The sequence below is a fragment of the Homo sapiens genome, chromosome 8 (assembly GCF_000001405.40).
Source record: "Homo sapiens chromosome 8, GRCh38.p14 Primary Assembly".
In the NCBI taxonomy this organism is placed as follows: Eukaryota; Metazoa; Chordata; class Mammalia; order Primates; family Hominidae; genus Homo; species Homo sapiens.
In genome coordinates, this window is record NC_000008.11 from 50,533,639 (window position 1) to 50,557,014 (window position 23,376).

Consider the following 23,376-nt stretch of genomic DNA (forward strand, 5'->3'; position numbering starts at 1 on the left):
AATTCTTTAAAGGATAGCTTGTGTTCCACTGTAAATAACAGGTCTATAATATGAAATACATCAACTCTGTTGAGTCAAATAACTGAAGTGGGACTTATTACATATTTCTTATAAAGAAGAAATATAAGAAAGTGACATACTTATACCTTTGGTACATACAGGCATCAAATCAAGATGCCACAAGAAAGAATGTCAAAGGCCACATATATTTCCATACTTGCCAATCTATGAAGTGTATTGATAAGATTTGTAAAACCTACCGTACTCATGTATTGGTGATTAGTCAGTCCTCAACATCTCATTACCCATATCTTTAACAATCTTTGACATTTTCTATCCCATTTATTGAAGAAACACAAAATTTGAAAGAAATTATTATTGTATTTTATGAAAGATGAGAAAGCATCTTTAAATAATATACCTGAAGTTATATAACCAAAATGTGAAATAATCAAGTAAAAAAATCCAAATTATTTTTCCATTGTTTCACTCCTGATTATCCAGGTTGAATGTTAAATGTTCCACAGTAGATCTGTTGGCTCTGCTATCAAAAAGGTGTTAGTCTGAGTGAATCCTGGGGGTGCCCTTTGCTGGCTGGGTGACTTGGGTAAATTGTTTACTATAGAACTTAGGAATGCGTGTGTGTGCACTGGGGTTCTGGGAAGGAGTTTCAGTCATTGCCAACGAGGACCTTGCTTTGTGCAGCTGGGTGGGTCCTGGGCCACTTGCAATCCCTGTGGACATCTCTGGCCTGGTCACAGAAACCTTGTTTGTTTACCCAAGCCTGCCACACAGTATTATTGCTTCTTCATGTTCCCTCATGAAGAAAAGTTGGGAAGTAATAATAAAATACTTCTTTAAAAAAACTTTCTTGTCTCACGCCTGCAATCCCAGCACTTTGGGAGGCCAAGGCAGGTGGATCACCTGAGGTCAAGAGTTCAAGACCAGCCTGGCCAACATGGTGAAACCCCTTCTCTACTAAAAATACAAAAATTAGTCAGGCCTGGTGGTGGGCACCTGTAGTCTCAGCTACTTGGGAGGCTGAGGCAGGAGGACCACTTGACCCCAGGGGCGGAGGTTTCAGTGAGCTAAGATCACACCATGCACTTCTAAGTGATAGAGTGAGACCCTGTCTCAAAAACTAAAAATAAAAAAACCTTCTGTTTTTCCTTTCAAATATGAACATAGTAATAGCTTTGTTTTTCAAAGATGTTGCAAGTGGTGTAAGTCAAGCACTTAGTACAAGTAGGTATTATTAAAACTACTATTAAATAGTAACAGTAATATTCCTAAGAATGCCCTCCCTAAAAGTTCCATGTTTAGAAATAATTTTGCCCCTTATTTCAGCTTATTATTATTTCTCGAGAATATAATATTTGATACATTTTACTTACAGCTACCAAGCCAGGCATCTAAGTAGTTTGTTTTACTAAATGTTAAATTACCATTAGCCTTTTAGATATATTGAAAATAGTATGGAGCCATTTAGCTGGGCTAGATTATAAGAAATTTTTTATTTGTTGCTATAATCTTACCAGTTGTTACCATTATTATCCCCACTTTGAAGATAAACATAGTAAGATAGAGACTACAAAACTTGCCCCCAGGTAATGGACTACTCAGTTGGGAAACTGGTATTCAAATCTAAGTGTTCTGATTCTGACTTGCAGCTTAAGACCTCGCCACCTTGTACTATCTCCCAGCTGATCCCATGTCATATGCTGACCACCTGTACAGCTGACATGAAGATCTGACCTCACATCACATGCCGATCATCCATAACATCTGACATGAGGCCAGGAGAAAGAGTAATATGAAACCTAGGTTTGTGCCTTTGCAGTCACCAGAGAGGCATTAAAAGCAACTGACTAGCATTGAAGGACAGGTGACTTGGAAGCTGAGGTGCTCATTGAGTCACCAGTAGGGACCCCTCACTAAGTGATCTTAGCCAGTCCACACTTCCAGGTATTCTAAACTGCTCCACTGACTTAGTACATTTTTATTTGCTCAATCTGCCACAATTAACATAAAATGCCAGGCAACATACAACCTTAAGTAAAAGTAATATTGTTTTTCACTGGAAGCATTGTTAAAAAGTTTAATGCCTGAGAGTAATGCTTAATAATATTTAGACTTCACAGAGTTTCAATATCTAGACTAAAATAGAATCTTCTTCCAACACTATCACTCAAAAATTAGTGAATAAAGGGAAGTCAATGTTACCAGTTTACTGGTCAAATTGAGCTTACAACCCATGCCAATTTAAATATTAATATTATTTGATGTGTTGGTGTGATGAAGAAATTTTAACATTAAAACTGAAATAATGAAGGAAACATGAATCAAGTGAAAAAGCCCAAATTTTATCAAATATTAGTCTCCTCTATATATAAAGGAAGAAAAAAGCTCTAACAAAACTTAATGTATGTGTAATTTTAAGCCAGCAGTAGTTGCCTTGATATGCAATTAAAACAACATAAGAAAGTATAAACTTTTTATGAACATGAAGTTAGAAAAAGGAGCACAGATTTCCTTGAGCAGTGTTTTGAAAGTTGTTTTATAGGAAAGCTTATTCTATTCAAAAATATTTGCAAAAATCTGATAAATTAAAAACACTTATGATTGTGCTTGGCACTCATAAAATACTCTCTATTTGAATGAACTACAGCTGATTTTTATTTCTTCACTTAATTGGTTAATTATAGTTACAGTTTTTTCCCACTTTTTCCATTCTTGAATAAATTATGTTCTGTCACATTCTTATCCTTTCCTTCCAGCTCCCCTCATTTTAAAATACGTTTTCACTAGCACTCTTAGTCTCAATGATTCCTTTCTTAACTTCTTATAGCATTCTGTTAATAAATAAGTTAACCAATACAACTTTAGTGTCCATAATTTGGACTTCTTCTCATGGTATTCCATTAAAGTCTTTTGATCATTTAGGGGAAAAATAATATCCCCCAGATAAAAGGGGTTTGAGATACAGAAACTCAAAGCACAGAAGAAAAAAATTACGTTGAATATTTATCTTCCTTTCAGGACACATTATCATGCTCGTCGTGGCCGACGTCTCCAGGCTTGAGGTGGGAGAAGCGATGGTGCGACCTCAGACTGATCCCTCTACTTCATTCGCGCTTCTCTCAGTATGTGCCCGGCACAGATTTGAGTCGGTGAGTCCGTGTTTAGGAGTTATGACTGTTTTGTTTATGAAAAAAGAGACCTTTTAGAAAACCTTTTGACATATCACAATACGCCTTATGATTTTAGTATGTTTTTGATAGTAGAAAGAAGAGCTTCAAAATAATAATCTAACAAAGTTAAACACTTATTATTCTGATGACAAAACCACAAGTTAAAGCCCTGACTCTGCTATTAACTTATTGTAATGGATTCAATAGACTCAATAGATAGTTTTATTAAGTTTTCATATTTCATATTTGTTAATTGTTTACTTCTCAAGAATATTGCATAGTTTATCTATTTGTTTGTTTGTTCACTTATTTTGAGGCAAGGTCTAGCTCTGTTGCCCTAGCTGGAGTGCAGAGGGGTGATCTTAGCTCACTGCAACCTCCACCTCCTGAGTTCAGGTGATCCTCCCACTTCAGCCTCCCGAGTAGCTGGGACTGCAGGCACATGCCACCATGCCCAGCTAATTTTTTGTTTTGTTTTGTTTTGTTTTCGTAGACATGGGAGATCTGCCTGCCTCAGCCTCCCAAAGTGCTGGGATTATAGGCATAAACCACATGCCCAGCAGCATAGTTGGTCTAAATTATAAGATTTATTTTCTGCTTTTAATATTCTTATATTATTATCTATTTTAGTAAGTGTAAGATAAGTAGTGCCCTCCTTTTCATTCTTGAAACTTTTTTTCTCTTTTTATCTTGATCAGTTTTGCTAAGGAGTTGTACATTTTGTTGATTTTTTAAAAATGATTAATTTGGGACTTTCTTGAATCTCTTAACTTGTATGTATACTTTATGAGTCTCTGCTTTTTCCCTGATTGTTTCCATTTCTTAAGTTTTTCAGCTTGAATTTTTGTTCTTATAGCTTTCTGAGAGATATAACCTCCAGGGGTTGGGAAACTTTCCTGTAAAGAGCTGTATAGTAAATATTTTATGCTTTGCAGGCCTTAATGTCTCCATCACAAAGTACTCAACTCTGCTCTTCTGGCACAAAAATAGCCATATACAATATATAAATAAATGAGCACACCTTTGTTCCAATAAAACTTTTTCACAAAAACAGGTGGCAGGCTAGATTTGTCCCATAGGCTGTAGTTTGCCAGTCCATTTTGATAATTAATTTTAAGATGTTTATCTCTTAATATATGTAGTCAGATCTTCACATTTCCAGCAAATACTGTTTTAGTTACTCCTGCAAGTTTAGCATTACCTCTTGATTTATTTATAGTATTTTTGAGTATATCACTTTGCATAGTTTTCTGACTGGTTGCTTGAGGTATTATAATATGTGTAGGTAATATATCACAGTCTACTGGTAACGTTTTACCACTTTGAATGAAGAATAGAAATGTTGCTTCCATTAAGATTCCTTTATCTTTCCTGTTTGTAAAGATATTACCTTAACTTCCTATATATACATCAAACACTATATCGGGTGGTATTATGAGTTTTGCTTCAACCATCAAATAAGATTTTAAAAACTCGTGGAAAGGATAATCCATTATACTTAACCCAAAGTATACCCATCAATGATCTTTCTGAATTTCAAAGCTTCTTTTACCGCTTCCTTTCTGCTTAATTTTTTTAGACATTCTTTAAAGGTAGATTTGCTAGCATCTAATTCCCTTAGTTTTCATTTATCTGAGAGGATACAGACTTTGGAGTTGACAGTTCTTTTCTTTCAGTACCTAAAATATGTTAGGCATTAATGTCTACTGTCATTCAAATCAGTGTCCCCTGTAAGTAATATGTTCTTTCCCTCTGTCTGCTTTCAAGACTTTTTTTTCTTTTCTTTTCTTTTTTAGTTTCAGAAGACTAATTATGACGTATGTTGGCACATATTTCTTTAAATTTCTCCTAAATGGGCTTTATTCTGCTTCTTAAGTCTGTATGATTATGACTTTCACCAAATTAGGAAAGTTTTTGACCTTTATTCCTTCAAACACTTGATTAGTCCCGCTTTCCATTCTCTCCCTCTACATCTCTGTTGATGCAAATATTAACCCTTTTATTATTGTCCTGCATTTCACTGAGAAACTTTTTAAAAAATCTGTTTTCTTTCTGTTAAACAGATTGGGAAAAGTTTATTGATCTGTATTTATGCTTTCAAATTTTATTTCCTGTCATTTAACTCTGCTCTTCAGCCAATTCAGCATTTTATTTTTTGTCGATTTATTTTTTTCAGTTCTAGTTTATCCTTTTAAAAATAACTTCTTTTTTGAAGTTTTTAAAAATATTTTTATTTGTTTCAAGAAAACTTGTAATTGCCTGTTGAAGCATTTTTAGGATGGTTACTGTAAAATCCTTGTGAGATATTTTCAATATCTCATTCATTTCATTGTTAGTATCATTAATTCTTTTCTCATTCAACTTGTGATTTTCCTGGATATTGATATGACAAGTGATTTAACAAAATCATCCTAGACTTTTTGGATATTAAATGTTGAGATTCAGATTACTATTTAATCTGGGTTTTGTTGTTGTTGTTGTTGTTCTTGTTCTTGTTGTTTTTAGCAGGCAATCTCTTTGTTGTGAGGACTGGGTGGGTGTATATGTTAAGTTTCCTACTGCACCATGCTGACACCTGGAAAGGTAGATGGAGAGGGCTATTCATATTTCTTGGTTACTAAAGGTTGGAGGTAGAAGCTCAGCTCCTCAGGGAATTCTACTGACATAAGGAAGGAGGTGGACGGATAGGTGAGGGCAACTAGCTCCACCTCCCACCACCTCATTCCACTGCGGTGATGATGGTGGGAGAGACTCAGCTCCTTGCTGGGCCACACCTGTCAGCATGGAAGGGGAGGCACAGTACTTGTCCCATCTCCCACAAGCCCATTTATTCTAATTGCTGCAGGTGAGTATGAAGGTTCAGCTGTCCATGACACCCCACTGACACTACCCTGGCAGGGAAATTGGAGCCTGCTTCTTTAAGGTGTAGGATGGAAGAACAGCTTCTTGCTAAGCCCTGCTGAAAACCTTGTGAACAGGGAGACAATGGTTCCATTGGTATTTGACTGGATTTGGGCAGGTATTGCCAAAAGTTTTTGTTTTGTTTTTATTGTACCCATTCTCTAGTCCTTCAAAAAGGAGTTACAGATTTTTATTGGAGGCTTTACGTTTTTAAAAGTCTTGCTGTTAGCCATTCAGATTGGAGGTTTCAGAGGGTCGTGTCTAGGACATGCAGGAGGAAAACCCAGGGGATTCAGCACTTTTTTTATCCCTGAATTTGAAGTCCCTAGCCATTCATGCTTAGCTGTTCACCTCACAGGGGCTTCCCATACTTTTGTCATCTTATGTGTGAAGTTCTTTAGTTGCATCAGAAAGCAGCTGATAAGAATGAGGCCACTCTGTCTTGGCCAGAATAAGAAATCCACAAGTATTGATATTCATGTATTTTAAAAAATTCATTTGATAATGTTTTATTTTTTGTTATAATTACTTCTATGACCTATGGACTATTTAAAAGTGTATCACAAAATTTCAAAATATTTTGGGATTTTCTAATTATCTTTTTTTGCTATTTCTATTTAGTATAATTTCATGCTAGATGATTTCAATACTTTGATATTTGTTGAGGCTTGATTTTACTCAGCATATACGTTATTTTGGGAAATGTTTTATATGTATTTATAAAGGATGAGTATTGTCATTTTTTTAGTGCTGTGTTGTACGTATTTCAATTAGGTCATATGTGTTCGTTAGAGGCTCTGATCCTCTGCATCATTCATGATTTTTTTCTGTTTATTGTATTAGGTTTTACATAAACATGGTAAAGTGTCCCACTATGATGGTAGATCTGTGTGTTTCTCTACATTGTTGAGTCAGTGTTTGCTGTATATATTTAATTATGTTGTCAGATGCAAGTAGATTTAGAATTTTTATAAATTCCTGTTATATGATGCTTGATAATTATGGCATGTCCAGTACCTTTGGAAATGTTTCTTGCCTTTAAGTCTATCTGTATTAGGATAAATAAAAAACAGATTTCTATTTGTTAATATCTACTTGTATATTCTTCTATCCTATTCTTTAAACTTTTATTAGTCTTACTGTATAAAATATGCCCCTTCTGCATTAAATATATATGTATATATACACATCTATATATTATACATATATTTGCAATATTCTTTGTTGTTTTTAATCCAAAGTAACAAACTTGGTCATTAATTCAAATTAGTCTAGTTACCTTTAATGTAACTACATATATATTTTGATTATACATCTTATTTTTTTCTATTGAAAATCCTAGCTTTTTATAATTAAACCTTTTATTTTGAAAAAATTGAATATTCACGTGCACTTGTGGGAAATAGTATTTTCATTTACTCTTATTATCCCAGATTGTATCACATTGCAAAACTGTAATACAATATCCCAACCAGGGAATGGACTTGACAAAATTCACCACTAAGATTTTACCTGTGTGTGTGTGTGTGTGTGTGTGTGTGTGTGTGCATGTTTATTTCTGTGAAATTTTATCACATATGCATGTTCCTGCATCCACTAACGCAGTCAAGTTTTGTATGAACAGTTCCATCATTGCAGGCATTCTCCTGTAGTCCTTCCATAACTACACCAGCATCCCTCTTGCCCTCCTCCCTCACCACATTTCTAATCTCTGACAACTAATAATCTGTTCTTCACCTCTGTTATTTGATCATATTAAGAACATTATATATGATACTATATAACCTTATTTAATTCAATTTTTGATGCATAATAGATGCATAGTTTTAGAATACATGTGATCATTTAATACATCCATAGAATTTGTAAAAATCAAGTTAGTATACTTACAATATCCATCATCTTAGTATTTGTCTTTTCTTTATGTGAGAACTATTCAAATCCTTCTTTTCCAGCTATTTTTTAAAAATATACAATAGATTATTATAAACTACAGTCACCTTACTAAGCTATTTAATACTAGGTCCTATGTCTTATACTATACTATATATTTGTGTTCATCAATCAACTTCTCTTCATTCTCTCTCTCTTCTAACTTTCCTGGTCTCGGGTAATGAACAATTTACTAGCTGTCTCAATGAGATCAACTTTTTTAGCTCCCACTTAAATATGAGTGAGAACATGGAATACTTGTCTTTTTGTGCCTGGATTATTTCACTCAATATAATGACCTCAAATTCCATCCATGTTGCTGCAAATGACAGAATTTCATTTTGTTTTTCATGGATGAATAATATTTTATTGCATATGTATATATACATATATATATGAATGTAGTATATGTATATATACATATATATGAATGTAGTATATGTATATATACATATATATATATGAATGTAGTATATGTATACTACACTTTCTTTCTGTTTTTTTTTTTTTTGAGACGGAGTTTCACTCTTGTTCCCCAAGCTGGAGTGCAATGGTGTGTTCATGGCTCACTGCAACCTCCACCCCCGGGTTCAAGCAATTCTTCTGCTTCAGTCTCCCGAGTAGCTGGGATTACAGGCGCACCCCACCATGCCCTGCTAATTTTTTGTATCTTTAGTAGAGATGGGGTTTCATCATGTTGGCTAGCCTGGTCTGGAACTCCTGACCTCAAGTGATCCACCCGCCTCGGCCTCCTAAAGTGTTAGGATTAAAGGCATGAGCCACCGCACCTGGCCAAATGTATACTACACTTTCTTTAGCCATTTATGCACTGATAGACACTTAGGTTGATTTCACATTTTGGCTATTATGAATATTGTTGCAATAAACATAGGAGCACAGATGTCTTTTCAATATATTGATTTCCTTTCTTTAAAATGTATACCCACTAATGAAATTGCTGGATCGTGTGGTAGTCTTATTTTCAGTTTTTTGAGAACCCTCCAAACTGTTCTGAAGTAGTGGTTGTACTAATTTACATTTTCACCAACAGTGCATAAGGATTCCTCTTTCTCCACATCCTCAACAGCATTTGTTATTGCCTGTCTTTCATATATAAGCCATTTTAACTGGGGTGAGATATCTCATTGTAGTTTTGATTTGCATTTCTGTGATGATTAGTGATATTGAGCAATTTTTCATATACCTGTTGACCATACGTATGTCTTCTTTTGAGAAATGTCTGTTCAAATCTTCTGCCCATTTTTAAGTCAGATTTTTTATTGTTATTGAGTTGTTTGAGTGTCCTGTATATTCTGTTCAGTAATTCTTTGTCAGATGGGTCATTTGAAAATATTTTTTCCCATTCTGTAGATTGTCTCTCACTTTATTTTTTCTCTTGTGGTGCAGAAGCTTTTTAGTTTGATGTAATAACATTTGTCTATTTTTGCTTTGGCTGTGCTTTTGACGTCTTACAGAAAACATCTTAGCCCAGACTAATGTCCCAGAGCATTTCCCCAGTGTCTTCTTCCAGCAGTTTCATAGTTTCAGGCTTTCGATTTAAGTGTTTAATCCATTTTGATTTTATTTTTGTGTATGGTGAGGGATAGGGCTCTAGTTTCATTCTTCTGCATATGGATCTTCAGTTTTCCCAGCAACATTTATTGAAGAGACTGCCCTTTCTCCAAAGTTGCCACCTTTGTTGAATGTGAGTTGGCTGTTAATGAGAGAATTGATTTCTGGGTTCTCTATTCTGCTCCATTGGTCTATGTGTCTGTTTTGTTGTTGTTGTTGTTGTTGTTGCTGTTGTTTCCTCCCACAGGATAATTTCCTGGAGATTCTTCCAAGTAGTTTTATTTTTTCAGTTGTTCATTCCTTTTCATTTCTGAGTGATATCCTATGGTATAGATGTAGCACATTTAAAAAATTCAACCTTTGAAAACATCTAGGTTGCTTCCGGTTTTTGATTATTCTAAGTAAAGATGTATGAATATTTGTATATAGATTTTTTGGAAGCATACATTTCCATTTATTTGGATAAATGCTAAAAAGTGCAATGAATGGATTATATTTTAATAGTATTTTAGTCTTTTAAGAAGCAACCAAATTGCTCTCTAGAGTGATTGTCCAATTTTACACTTGCACCAACAATGTAGGAATGACTGTTTCTCCACATCTCTGCCAGCATTTAGTTTTGTTGCTTTATTGAACCACTTTAATGGGTATGTAGTGACATGTCCCTGTGGCCTTGATTTGCATATTATAATGACATTGAGCCTCTTTTTATGTACTTATTTGCCATCAGTGTATCTTCTTCGGTGAAGTGTCTGTTTATGTCTTTTGCCCATTTTGAAATTGATTTGTTAGATTTTATACTGTTGAGATATACATATATCTCAAATTCCTTTTTCTCAACACACGAGTTTTTGTGCTGTTTTATTTCCTTACCTCTTGTAATAATTAAAAATGTTTATTATTTAATATTCTCTCTATTCAATTTTCATATATTCGTGTTTTTGTTATCATTTAAGTTATCGCCTAAGCATTATCATAGAGCCATACATGTATAACTATTACAGTTTAACACAATTTATATCAATTTCAGAAAATGTTAGAACTTTAAGACCCCTTAATTCCTTTGTTTTTTCTTATCTTTGGGCATATTTTTGATATACTTAAAATCGTATGTTAGATATTTCAAAATTTATTATTGCTTTCATATAACTATTCAAACATATTCTATTTTTAATCTTTCTTCTCATTTCTTTCTTTTGGTTCTATTTTCCTTCTACCTTAAGAGCTCTGTTAATATTTCTATTAAGAGAATGTATATTTTTTAAAAGCGTACATTTATTTACTTTTTGATTTAAAAAAATGCAGTTACATTATTTGAAGACATTTAGCTAGAGAAATTTCTGACAAGAAAGGAATTGTCTGAATGGGTCCAGATGACTCCTTACATTTTCATTTTTATGGCATTCAGCACATCAACAGCTTCATCAGCTGAATTAATTACACTCAATACACATGACAGCAATAAGCATTTACAAACATAGCACTATTCAGAATGGATTTCATAGAGATTCACATTCAAGAGCTAATTTATTGTTTACTCATTCACTCAACCAATATTGACTTAATATCTGTAAGTGGGAGACATTATGTTTGATTCTTTCTCTGTAAAAGCTCACAGACTAGTAGTAGTAGATTCAGTGAGGGAGTGGGGGGCAAGAAAAGATAAATAAGTGATTTATAATAGATTCATGGATGAATAATACACTATTGCATATATATATGTATATATGAATGTAATATATGTATACTACACTTTCTTTAGCCATTTATCCACTGATGGACAGTTAGGTTGATTTCATATTTTGACTATTATGTATAGTGCTGCCCATGATTACAAATAAAGAAAATTATTTAGCTTGGCTCAAATGTAGGATATTATTTCTTGGTTGCTTTTTTTCCATAGCCCATAATTTTAACTTCAGTGATATAATACCTGTCATATATAATTGCAACCAAGTTGTGTTACAGTCATGTACTATTGTGCATATATAAATTAAAACATCATGATATTTTTATCAGTAATAATACAGTTTATATTTATCATAATGTAATGACCCTGATTCAGATATAAATATCTGCTTTAAATTTTGAAGTATGTTATAATATTGCAGTGTCAAGGGCATTAGAATAAGAGATAAAGATTGTTAAAATTGGCTGGTCTTTTAATCTCTTCAAGCTTTATTTTTCTTATATGCAAAATGAGCATATAAATATATGCACCTGTCACTTTATATAATATTATATACATGTTATATAAATATATATATATATATTTGAATTTGAGAAGTATAATTTTGAGGAGTACTCTCAGTGTTTAGCATACTTTATGGCTGAAAGTACTCAATAAATATTTATAAAATGAATTTTAATAAAAAAATTCATGTCTTAGTTTTTTCTTTAGGTAGAATTATCATCTACTGCATGCTTTTTAAACACTATGAAAATCGATAATATTGAAAGTAGGCTTTTGGACTTTAAAAATTCTCAAATGACAGTAGAATTTCTAGTTTTCTCCCAGAGTGCACACACTTGTTTACCTTGAGATGAAGACGTTTCAGATGGTGACAGGTTTGGCACTGGTGGATGAAATTTAGTATCTAAACAGTAGGCAAGTTTAGTGGTTATGAGAATTGTGCTTTTAACAACACAACAATCTTAGCAAATGGGTCTCTAACAATAAAGCGAAATATGAATCTGACTTATAGTAAATACTTAATTCATGGTTGTTCATTGAAGGAGGGAAACCTACAGGAATGTATATTTTGGGGGATCTGAGGAGGAAGCACAATCAGCGAATGTGTGAAGCAGAAAAAAGTAGGTAGGAAGAAAAAGAAAAAATACTATCACGTAAGGATGTCATAGAAGTTATTTCAATCAGGGTTTTAAGGAGAAGAAAGAGTAGATTGTATCAACTACAGAAAATAAATACTGAAAGAACTGAGGAGCAGTGATTAATTTGGGGATGACTTTGGATAGAATAATTGTAGAAGCAAATTGATAAAAAAAAGTTTGTAAGAAGAAACATATTGACAGTAGAGAAAGGAGCACAATATGTAAGAGTATATTCATAAAATGTGATGAGGGGGAAAGGGGAATATAAAATTTAAGCATATCATGATGTTGGTTACTAATTGAGAAGGAAGACTTTTTTATTATTATTATTATACTTTAAGTTTTAGGGTACACGTGCACAACGTGCAGGTTTGTTACACATGTATACATGTGCCGTGTTGGTGTGCTGCACCCATCAACTCGTCATTTAGCATTAGGTATATCTCCTAATGCTCTCCCTCCCCCCTCCCCCTACCCCACGACAGTCCCCAGTGTGTGATGTTCCCTTTCCTGTGTAAATGTGTTCTCATTGTTCAGTTCCCATGTATGAGTGAGAACATGCGGTGTTTGGATTTTTGTCCTTGTGGTAGTTTGCTGAGAATGATGGTTTCCATCTTCATCCATGTCCCTACAAAGGACATGAACTCATCATTTTTTATGGCTGCATAGTATTCCATGATGTATATGTGCTACATTTTCTTAATCCAGTCTATCATTGTTGGACATTTGGGTTGGTTCCAAATCTCACTCTGCCACCCAGGCTGGAGTGCAGTGGTGCAATCTCGGCTCACTGCAACCTCTGCCTCCTGAGTTCAAACAATTTTCCTGTCTCAGCCTCCAGAGTAGCTGAGATTACAGGTGCCCACAACCATGCCTGGCTAATTTTTGTGTTTTTTAGTAGAGATGGGGTTTTGCCATGTTGGCCAGGCTGGTCTCGAACTCATGATCTCAAGTGATCCACCTGCTTAGGTATCCCAAAGTTCTGGGATTACAGGCATGAGCCACCATGCCCGGCAGAGAAGGAAGACTCAATGGCAAAAGTGCTCATAAACAGAAACAGCACCCACGTCTGATGCGGCAGCTGCCCCTGCAGTTTCATCATCCTGATGTTACATGTGGTTCTCAAAAGTGGATACAGAGGTTGAATTGATTGCATTCCACTTCACAGATTGGTCAGGAGGTCCACAAGGACTGGTCTCTGTGTAACTCAGGAGCAATAAATAATTTTTAGAAAACATCAACTAAATACCATTAAGACCCTCTCCATAAGGCATGCAAGTATTCCTTCGTCTGGCATAAACCTCTTCACTTGTTCTTACACAATTATGTAGGGGATTAAAAAAGAAACTGCCACAATCCCCTTAAAATATATGAATCTCTTTGGAAAAGTCCACTCTTCCTTTGAACAATTCTAGATGAATTTTGTATAGTTCTTTCAATCTAGGGCAAATTATCTTGCCAAAGAGTCGCTCTTTGTTTCATTTCTCCAGTTTATTATAACACACTTATTTAATGATATGAATTTATTAATTAATATTAATTTTAATTTTGCCATAGCCAGAGGAGGACAGTATTCCAGGGTGCTTGAATATCTCTGGAAAACTGAACAATAAAAATAAAAAGAAATAACCCTTGAAGAAGTATATGTATTCTGGTAGGCTTCAGTCACAGAATAAAAAATTACATTTGATCAAATGATCGAATATATATTTTCAAAGACCATAAATTTTAACCAAATATAGGTTAAAGGTGTATAATGTAGTGCTTCTACTGATGTCATGAGATATTCAAAATTTGCATGACAATGCTTTCTGCTTCAAATGCCTTCGAGATGGCAGGATTCAGGAATAAAAGGACAGAGAAATTATGGAAGAGCTGTTATGTGACTAGGATTAGCCAGGAAGAGATAAATAAAATGATGTCCAGGTAAGCATCTGCATATGTAATACCTGCTCCTGTGAGGGTAGAAAGGTAACAAAGTAGACAAGAGCAACTAAGGACCTTGGGGTCCCAGAGATCAATTGTACTGGTGCTTCTTTGCACAATTTATTACTTTTGCCAGGGAATCCTGCTATGCCAGGAAGAAAAGGGTATTCATTTAGTTAAACTGGATTTATTGAGGGCTGGGAAGTAGTAAGATTGGAGTGACTGGAGGTCACAGTGACAGGAAATTCTAAAATGAAAAATAACCACGTAATTTGTGTGGATGAACAGGAAGCTCAGTCTAGGCAATGCAGCTAGATCCTGGATAGATATATGAACTAGGGTAATTGGAAGGGCTAAGAAAGATCAGAAAAATAATAAGGTAATTTGGTGGTGATGGAAAGGAAGAGGGTGTAGTTAAAGAACAGAAATGTGAGAATTCAAGTCTGACAGTGGAGCTGTCTTGGATAACATCAGATCTCAAGTTAGCAAAAGCAGGAGATTGCTAAAGTAAAGTGGAGATGGACTTGTTTGTTTTTGTTTCTTACTTACAGATTAAAGATTCCGAGCACTGTGCTAATGCTATGAGAGGTATAAAATAGCATATATGGCTTTTCCTTCAAGGAGCTAGCAGCTTGGTAAGATCGAACAGTATTTAGCGCTACACAAACATGTTTAATACCACAGAGAACAAGTGTTGCAATAAAGGAATCAGGAAGTCGAGGGGCACTAAAGTGGAAGAGATTCATTCCAAATACATGGGTTAAAGAAAATCTCATGGAATAGATGGCACCTGAGTTAACTTCTTAACATTTGAAATGGATTTTGACAGGTAGAAATAATACAACTGGTATTTTTAACGGATTCTTCAGTTGTTAAGAAGTCCAGTCGATAGTCTTCAAAATACAGCCTGAGGTGTGCAGAATATGTGTTGCCTTCTTCATTTCACGACCAGAGGAACTGCGGGTCAGAGAGTTTCACGGTGTTAACTGACTTGCAAGGACCTCAGAGATATTGAAGGAGCATAGATGGGCATCTCAGACAAAGGAGTACTGGGGAGAAAGACGCTGTTGCAAAAAGTGCAGGACTTCTTTAGGGAATGACAAGTTATGTGGTTTCAATTCATGAAACAACTGGTGAATTTAAGATCTGGAAAATAAGTCACAAAAAATAACTTGAAAAAGCTCCTGATGTATCTAAACAGCTTAGGTTTTGTGCCTGAAAAATTAAAAGAGATGACATGGCAGTGAACCAAGGTAGTGCACACAGGGAAGAAACAGCTCAGGCCTGCTATGTGTGGATTACACTCAACAAGACAGAGTAAAATGCAACAGTCACAAACCCAAGGGGCCTCTTCTTATTTCTTTCTTTCCTTCAATAACATCCCCCTACCAATTAAGTGATAATGAAATCAAGTAAATGAGTCAATGTTCTGTCCTCACACACAGGGCCACTCTGTGAGACTGATTTTTCTCATTGTTCATTTTGTGTACTTTATTCTCTCTTTTTTCCATATCCTTCACCCCACAGAGAGATATTTCTAAAATATAAACATGATCCTTTTCCTCCAATGCTTCAATGTCTCCACTGGCTCCCCTGACTCTCAGGATCAGAGAGAAAAATTGCAGCAAGATATGTGAGTTATCACTGATTACACCTTGTCCGATCACCAACTTCATGGATTGCCTCTTCTTCAGATCCACACACAATGTGCCAGACAACCCACATTTCTTTGGATATACTATGTTTTTCATGCCTTGGACATTTGCTTTTGGATTAATTATCTCCTCTCTAAAAATTTTGCTTTCCCTTACCTGCCCCAACCAAGCCGTTCCACTGTTTAGCCCAATAGGGTGGAGTAGCTTTGATTCTACTCACTTCTTCTTAATTCATTTTAAAAAGCAGTTATTGAATCACATCGTTTCTAATGACTTTAAGGGGGAAATTATACATAGAACTTCAGCCATATGTGAAAGTACCGGGATCCACCAATTACTCATCAAATCCTTATTAAATCTGTAAATTGTTCTCATTTTTAGGGGAAATTGAGGCACAACTAAGTGAACTAAGTTGCTTCATCTTCACTCTCACTAATATAAGTTTATTTCAGTTTCATATCATCTCAAGTTTTACCAGTGACAGTCTTTTCCTCACTGGTCTAATAGGACCACCCAAGCCACACAAATCTAGCCACTCTGGCCCTCTATATGGAGGTGAGCAGTGGTTCCTTGCAGACTTTAAGCCCACCTCATTCTGAGCCTGCCTGTTTTTCCATGGGGAGCTTCCAGAACTCATGCTCATTCCAGTCACTCCAAACTTTTACATTTTAGTCTCTGCAGCTCTTGCTCCTTGTGCATGAAAGTACATGCCCTCATGTGGGGTAAAATCAACAATGAATCAAAACAGGAATCACTAACTATATTAATTAGAAATGATATATATTTATTTGATTGCTTATGTTAGGTTGAAAATTATTCATGAATTTGTATAGTGAGCAGTATATTTTTCATTCAAGGAAGACTAAATTTGTATTTTAAATGAATAAACCTACTTTGAGATTGAGCAACATTTAAAAATACTTTTTACTGCCAGAGCAGTTACCAAGAATCTTTAGAAAGCTGTATAAGTGCAGAGTGGAAAAACAAGCCTGAACAAAAAACTTCAGACTAACTCTTCAGTGATGTAATTTTTTTTAGTGTGTGTGTATATATATATATATGACACATAATTTTGTCTGAGTATCCATAAGGTTACCGTTAATGCTGTAAAAGTTTAATGTCTCACAATGCTAAATTAATGGGTAATGGAGTCTATTGATTTCATAATAAATATTAACTATTTTTGTTTATCTTGAGTTAAAAAATTACATTTTCTAAAAGCTACAAATAAAAACAAAAGCACTTCAGTTTTTCCCTAGTGCTTGATGAGACAATAATTCTATGTGGGGACATTTTCTTTTAACACTGAAATATTACAATCAAGAGCATATTGATGGATTATTCAAGGGAATATTATACATAGAACTTCATCCAGGTATTAAAGTATTTAGATCCACCAATTATTCAGAAAATACTTGTTAAATCTGTATGGTAAATTGTTCTCACTTTAGATGAAATTGAGGCCCAACTAAGTGAGCTAATTTACTAATAACCTTCTTTACTTAGTAATGGAGGCCCCAGATAACTGTAATTTTTATGATCAACTTATACTATAAGAGGTCATATGTAATAAAAAAACTGTTCAAGTATTTCACTTATGTTCATAAAAGAGTTTCCATATTTGAAAAGTTGAAACAGAATGTAAAAAGTGATATGTATTAACTTATAAGCCTAGTTTCATAAAAGATCAGCCCCTCAGAATTATTCTATGTAGGCACTATGTAACATCTATAATTACATAGATTGAAGATTTGATCTAAGTGTATTGACTTTTATTAGCTAAAAAATCTAGCTGCTATTTAAAGCAGAGAAGACAAATATGATCAAGATATGCTTTAATTTATGGTACATGAAGCAATGGTTATAACCAGAGAGCAGAAAGAAATATGTATTACTAAACTCCAATTATTTCTCATTTTCTATGGATGGTTAAACTTCTGTCTGAATACTTTAAACATCATACTTGCCATTATACATCAGAATTAAAGCTAAAAATATCATGTGAAATTATAACATTCTTTTCATTCAATGTGTATGCTGTCACAAATTCAAACTAACTTTCTTTCAAAAAGATGGACAATAGTTATACTTCTGAAATTCTTTTAGTATATTTTCAAAAGAAAACAAAAGAGCATATCTAAGCACATCCCTTTTTTCATTATAAAATGCTGTGTCCAAGATATGAGAACCAGTTTCTCTAAAAATATTAATAATTTGAACCCTCAGAGTCGTGGATGCCCAAGGCCTTACCATGTGCCCAGTTCTGAGACAGGAAGGCAGAGTGGCGTAGACCTACCAGTAGACCTGAGCCAGACATGCTCTATGGGGTTTTCTTTGTTTGGGGAATAAACTCTGTTTTATATCCAAAAATGTCTAGTAGAAGAGCCAGGAAAGGTGTTTGGAGAAAACATATAAATTTACACATTTTACATAGCATTTTGAATACTGAATTGCAAAAGTTTTCTGTTACTGTCAAAATTGACTGGAATTGAAATATAGTTTGTGTATTGTGTTGCACAATGAAGTAATTCTTAAGCCTGAGACTTTGGCTAGTTTCCATCCATTTTGGGATTTTATCTATTCCTGTCCATTAAGTTTATATCTAAACATTGCAATATCTGGAAGTAAGGAAGTCATTGAAGCTATATGAAACACTTTTAAATTCAATAGCACTTTTGTGAACAATTTTAAAAGGCATCATTTAATTGTCTATGACAACAAAAACAAAAGTCAATAAAATACTGTCAGAATGCTTAGACTGATCATAGCATTTTAAGAAAAAGTTTAATGTTAATGAAATTGGCAACATCCATGCAAATGGAGAGCATGATCATTTACACCTGGAAAGAAGGTATGAACCTCTTGTTCCAAATCATCTTTGGGAAGATGAACAGACTGAGAATGAGGGTGGAGAACAATGGACAAAGTGCTGCCACTCATGTTATCATCTAGTGACTTTTTAATATCACGCTTAATATTTTATTGCCTGTTTTTACGATCTTTCTAAGTCAGAAAATGCATTGACAAATGTTAAGAGGAGACAATGGTAGCCAAAATAATAAGTAAACTACGCATAATGTTATAGCAAACTGGGAAAAGAATGCATCTAAAATTTCTTAGATTCTCTTTTATCTACATGTTGTATGTTTTAGAAGTCAAAGTTTCTCCATAGTTACCTGAATCTAAAGATGCTTCCTACGAAATTGAAATTGTATGTCATTTGGGTCTATCTTCAGTGTTTCATTTAAAACAGAGATGCTTATAAAGTCAGGTAACCAAATATGAATTTGGAGGCTGATATTTATATTGTATGAAAGATAAGCTTTTCAACAGATACTATTACGAGCTGCAAATAGATCAATGACATGAGGTTTTGATCTGATTTGTTCTGAACATCTGCAGGCAGAATGCCTTTCAAGTCATTGCTGTGGATGGGGTCTGCACTGGGATTATTCAGTGCCTCTCTGCTGAAGACTGCGTTGACTGGCTACAAGCAATAGCAACTAACATTTCAAATCTCACAAAGCACAATGTAAGTAATGATTCAAGGAATACCTAGCCAGGGTTTCTCAGGCTTTATAAAATCCTTCAGTATATATGTAACTTCACATCAACTGTTTGGTGTTCTTCTCAGAATGAGACATTCATGAAAGCTATTCTGGAATACTTATTGTAAGAAAACTGAGAGTTCTGGCCCAATTTATGAGTTCAATAATACACATAGATTTCCATTAACAAGCATTATAAACCCCTACATTACTTAAGCAAATGAAAATAACTAGTTAGCATATAATCCCTAAATATATTTAAGTAAAAGCATTCGGGAATAATATAGTACTGGGTTTCAAGACAGCATTATTGATTTACCTTTAGTGATCTTAGAATTGCAGCTAGGAAGGTTTGAGGAGTAGTAGGCTAGGAGGAAAGGAGTTAGCATAGAGACTGAAGGGAACAGTCAGAAGATTGCCATTGTCTCACATTAGATAGAGCCTGGTCTGTATTATTAGAAATGGCTTCTCTGCATTTTCTCTCTTTCCACTACAACCGTTGCTTCCTTCCACATTCCTGTGTCTCTTTATTGTAGCTATCTTCTCATTATTTTAACTCTTTAATAACCTAAATAATTCTTTCCCCCGTTATTAATAATTCTATGAGAAATATAGTCTAACAAAATATACAAAACCACAAACCTCACCTTACTGAGTATCAATCTAGGTATCATTAATGATAATTATTTTAGAAAAAGTACTTGTCATCATCCATGCCTTTGTGTTAATTCTCTCCTCAGTCCGCAATTGTTCCATGCGATGTTGAGGCATTTCAGAAGTCCTAAGGGAGATCAGGAGTCTAATATACAAATGATCAAGCAGAAATATATAACTCTGTCACCAGCACGTGAACACACAAAATTGTTCTTATGTAAATGACCCTTCAGATCCAAGTATCCTTGCACAGAGTAGACTTTGCTTTGAAACCTAAGAAAGGATTGTGGCCACTATACCTTTCTAAAACGACAGGAGGACCACTAGCCAATAAAGGCAACTGTCTAGTTTCCAGTCTATGGCTATTTCAAACAACGCCATCATAATAGCCATGCATATGGTGATGGGATCCTCTGGGAATGGGGTTGACAGTCATGGGATATGTGCATGGTCAATTTTACCAGGCAATGCTAAGTGTTTTCCAATTGGCTGTGCAATTTACCCCTCACTCTTGGTGGATGATATGTTTCTTTCTATAATCTTCAAAACTCTGTGTCACGCTGCCTTTTGAATTTTTGGTTGATACATGTGGAAATGTGCTTCCAGTGTGAATAAAAACAGATTTTCCTTTTTTTTTTTTTTCTGGTGGTTCCAGGATAGGTGTAAATACACCAAGCCTTACCCAGGCTCATCCCTCAACAAGGAGGCTAAACATGGGTATGTCTAGTTTGGGCAAGAGTGAGCTCTCACTCCCAACCCACCCTTGCTAATCTGGTGTTGTCACCATATTAGAGTTGAGGTTGCACAAGAGGGCATAGGTTTCAGAATGACTGAAAAACAAAGAAAAAAATAGAAAAGAAATGCAATGTTTCTCTAGGGATTGTTTCCTCTCCTTCGACTGACTTATATGGATGCTTCTAGAGTTAAACACAGAAAAATACCTGAGAGTAGGGAATTTGTTACAGAAATGATTAGAGTTTCTTAAAAACAAGATATGAACTTATATTTGTGAGACAAATATAATTGTGTTCTTTTGAAAGAACAGAATGTTAAACTTTGAATCCAAAGTTTTTTTTCCTTATCTAGATCCAAATTTGCATTGACCTAAAATCCTAGGAATATTGTCATGCCATATTTCTTCAAACGTCTATTCAGTTAGAATGCTGTGCTTCAGCTGACAAGCATTTGAAAAGTCAATGCTTTAGTTAAAAGCAACAGCAACAACAAAACAGTGAAGATGCAAATGTCTCTACCCTCTGTAAGCCTAAGGAGGGACAAGCCGCATTTTACTGCTTGTTTTTCATCCTTGTAATAAGTGCTCACCGTCATATGATTCCCCTATACTACTGTTTTAACTGTTTGGAGATCCATATGTCTGTTGCATATTAAAAGTTATGTATTTCTTCTTTCACCTCCTGTTTCTATATTCTAATTACATGTTCTTTTGTTCTTGCAATCAGTTTCCATTCAAAAGTATTAGGTTCCAATGTATTCTGATATGGAAAGTACTACATAAATGTTGAAAAGTTATTAGGCATAGCAATAAAAAATGTGAAAGTCACATTGATTTCAGAGAAGGCAGAATGCATTGATGAAACAATTAATATGGTTAATTAGCATAAAGAAAGAAATTAGGCAGAAAGAGTAGCTAGGAAAGTTTTGCTTAGGTTAGTTAGATATCAGTTCTACTTCTCTTATTTTTTAATTCTAAAGATATACTGGAAATAACACCTTATGGAAAGATGTAGACCTTTTTCTTTATTTGCCAATATTCTGAGAGTATAGGCTTGTATAAGTCTGACTTGAATAGCTTGTTAATAATAGGTGCAGAAATAAAAACATTGTGATAAATATTTAAAGAAATTCCACTCAAGAGATTATCAGGCATAAAATAAAACTGAAAAAAGGATTAAAATGCATATAAAATAATAAGTTTGACAGTTTAAAAATTATGCTATTGAAATAAGACATACATATGTATATAAACTTTTTAATGATGAATCACATTTTATTGTAAAGCTAGTTGGAGAACAGACAGGGGAAGGATAAAAGCAAAAACAAAAAACGAAAAACAACCTGTGTTAGAATAATTAGATCAATGTGTTGATCATTTTCTTTTCTCTTTGCTCACTAGTTTCTAAAAGTAACTTTGTGAGACAGGGATTTTCATACCCAGTTTTTAAAAATTCTATATAATTATAGTTGCTATAATTTTTCTTCCAGAAATAATTGATCATAATGGCTAAAAATACCTAGGCAAACACTGACAATGTAAAATTGTATTTTATCATTATTCAGAGTGGCTCCAAAATATTTACAATAGTTGTTAATATTTAATACTTAGTAAATGATGTCTACTAGAATGAGGGTGAAGGCTTTAGGGACTTGTCTTAAGCTGTATTGGCACAGCTTTCAACTCATTTTATTTAAATTCTATGCTTTCACATTGGAAAGCAAAGCATGGCAGAGGCTATGCTGTTGTGGGGTGGGTGGGGTTCAGCTCATTTCTTAACCAACTCTCACATAATGAGCATTTGCTATATTTTAGGTGAGCATTCACTCCCAGTGAACTATTATTTTAGGTAAAGTGGACTTGAGTAGATTCTAAAAGGTAGAATTTATAAATTGTAAAAAACAGTAATTGCTTCCAATTAATAATTTACCAATTTTTTATTCATTATTTCACCAGCTATATGAACAAGTATTAGTAGAAAGTTATCAATTTTTATTTCCATGATCATTTCTTATTAAATAATTGAAGACTTTAAAATATGCAATGTTGTAATAGGGTGAAGTTTTTGGGAACCTTGGAAATAAGTAAATATATTTGGCATAATATATAAGGGATATGAATCATCAGACTTTGATGGGTAGGTTAGTAAGATGCACCTCCGTGATGTTCACTTCCTGGCATTTACACCCTTATGGGATCACCTTCCATGTGCGTTGGCTCCATAGTGAGCTCTGAAGCAGACACTTCTCTTACAAGACTTCAGATGAGATAGCAGATGACCCTTGAGAGCATTTTTAGAAATCCAGTACATTCTAACCCACACTAATCACATGCTGAGGACTCAGCACATGTCAGTCACATGCTGAGGGCTGGCTCAACACACAAAGATGTCCCAACCAGAGGCCCATGCCAGCTCTCCCCTACCCTGCACC

At 34.5% G+C, this 23,376-nt stretch overlaps 1 protein-coding gene across 21 annotated transcripts in view, besides 1 other annotated feature; it reads left to right on the forward strand.

Annotated features, from left to right (window-relative positions):
* The window catches only part of SNTG1 (syntrophin gamma 1), an 886,897-nt gene that overhangs the window by 623,843 nt on the left and 239,678 nt on the right, over positions 1-23,376 (forward strand). For all 21 annotated transcript variants that reach the window (NR_135796.2, NR_135795.2, NR_135797.2 and 18 more), the window contains 2 exons: positions 3,040-3,170; positions 19,412-19,541. Coding sequence is in view for 16 of the 21 variants with exons in the window: in NM_001287813.3 (NP_001274742.1) it covers positions 3,040-3,170; positions 19,412-19,541 (261 nt within the window). In the remaining 5 variants the exon portion in view is untranslated. The remainder of the gene's footprint in view (positions 1-3,039; positions 3,171-19,411; positions 19,542-23,376) is intronic.
* Positions 3,034-3,249: a silencer, noted in NCBI's record as "fragment chr8:51449232-51449447 (GRCh37/hg19 assembly coordinates)". NCBI's record gives its function as "represses an EF-1alpha promoter that drives an FKBP-Casp9 reporter gene in an ReSE screen in phorbol 12-myristate 13-acetate-treated (for megakaryocytic differentiation) K562 erythroleukemia cells {active_cell/tissue: K562(+PMA)}" and the evidence as "EXISTENCE:reporter gene assay evidence [ECO:0000049][PMID:32094911]".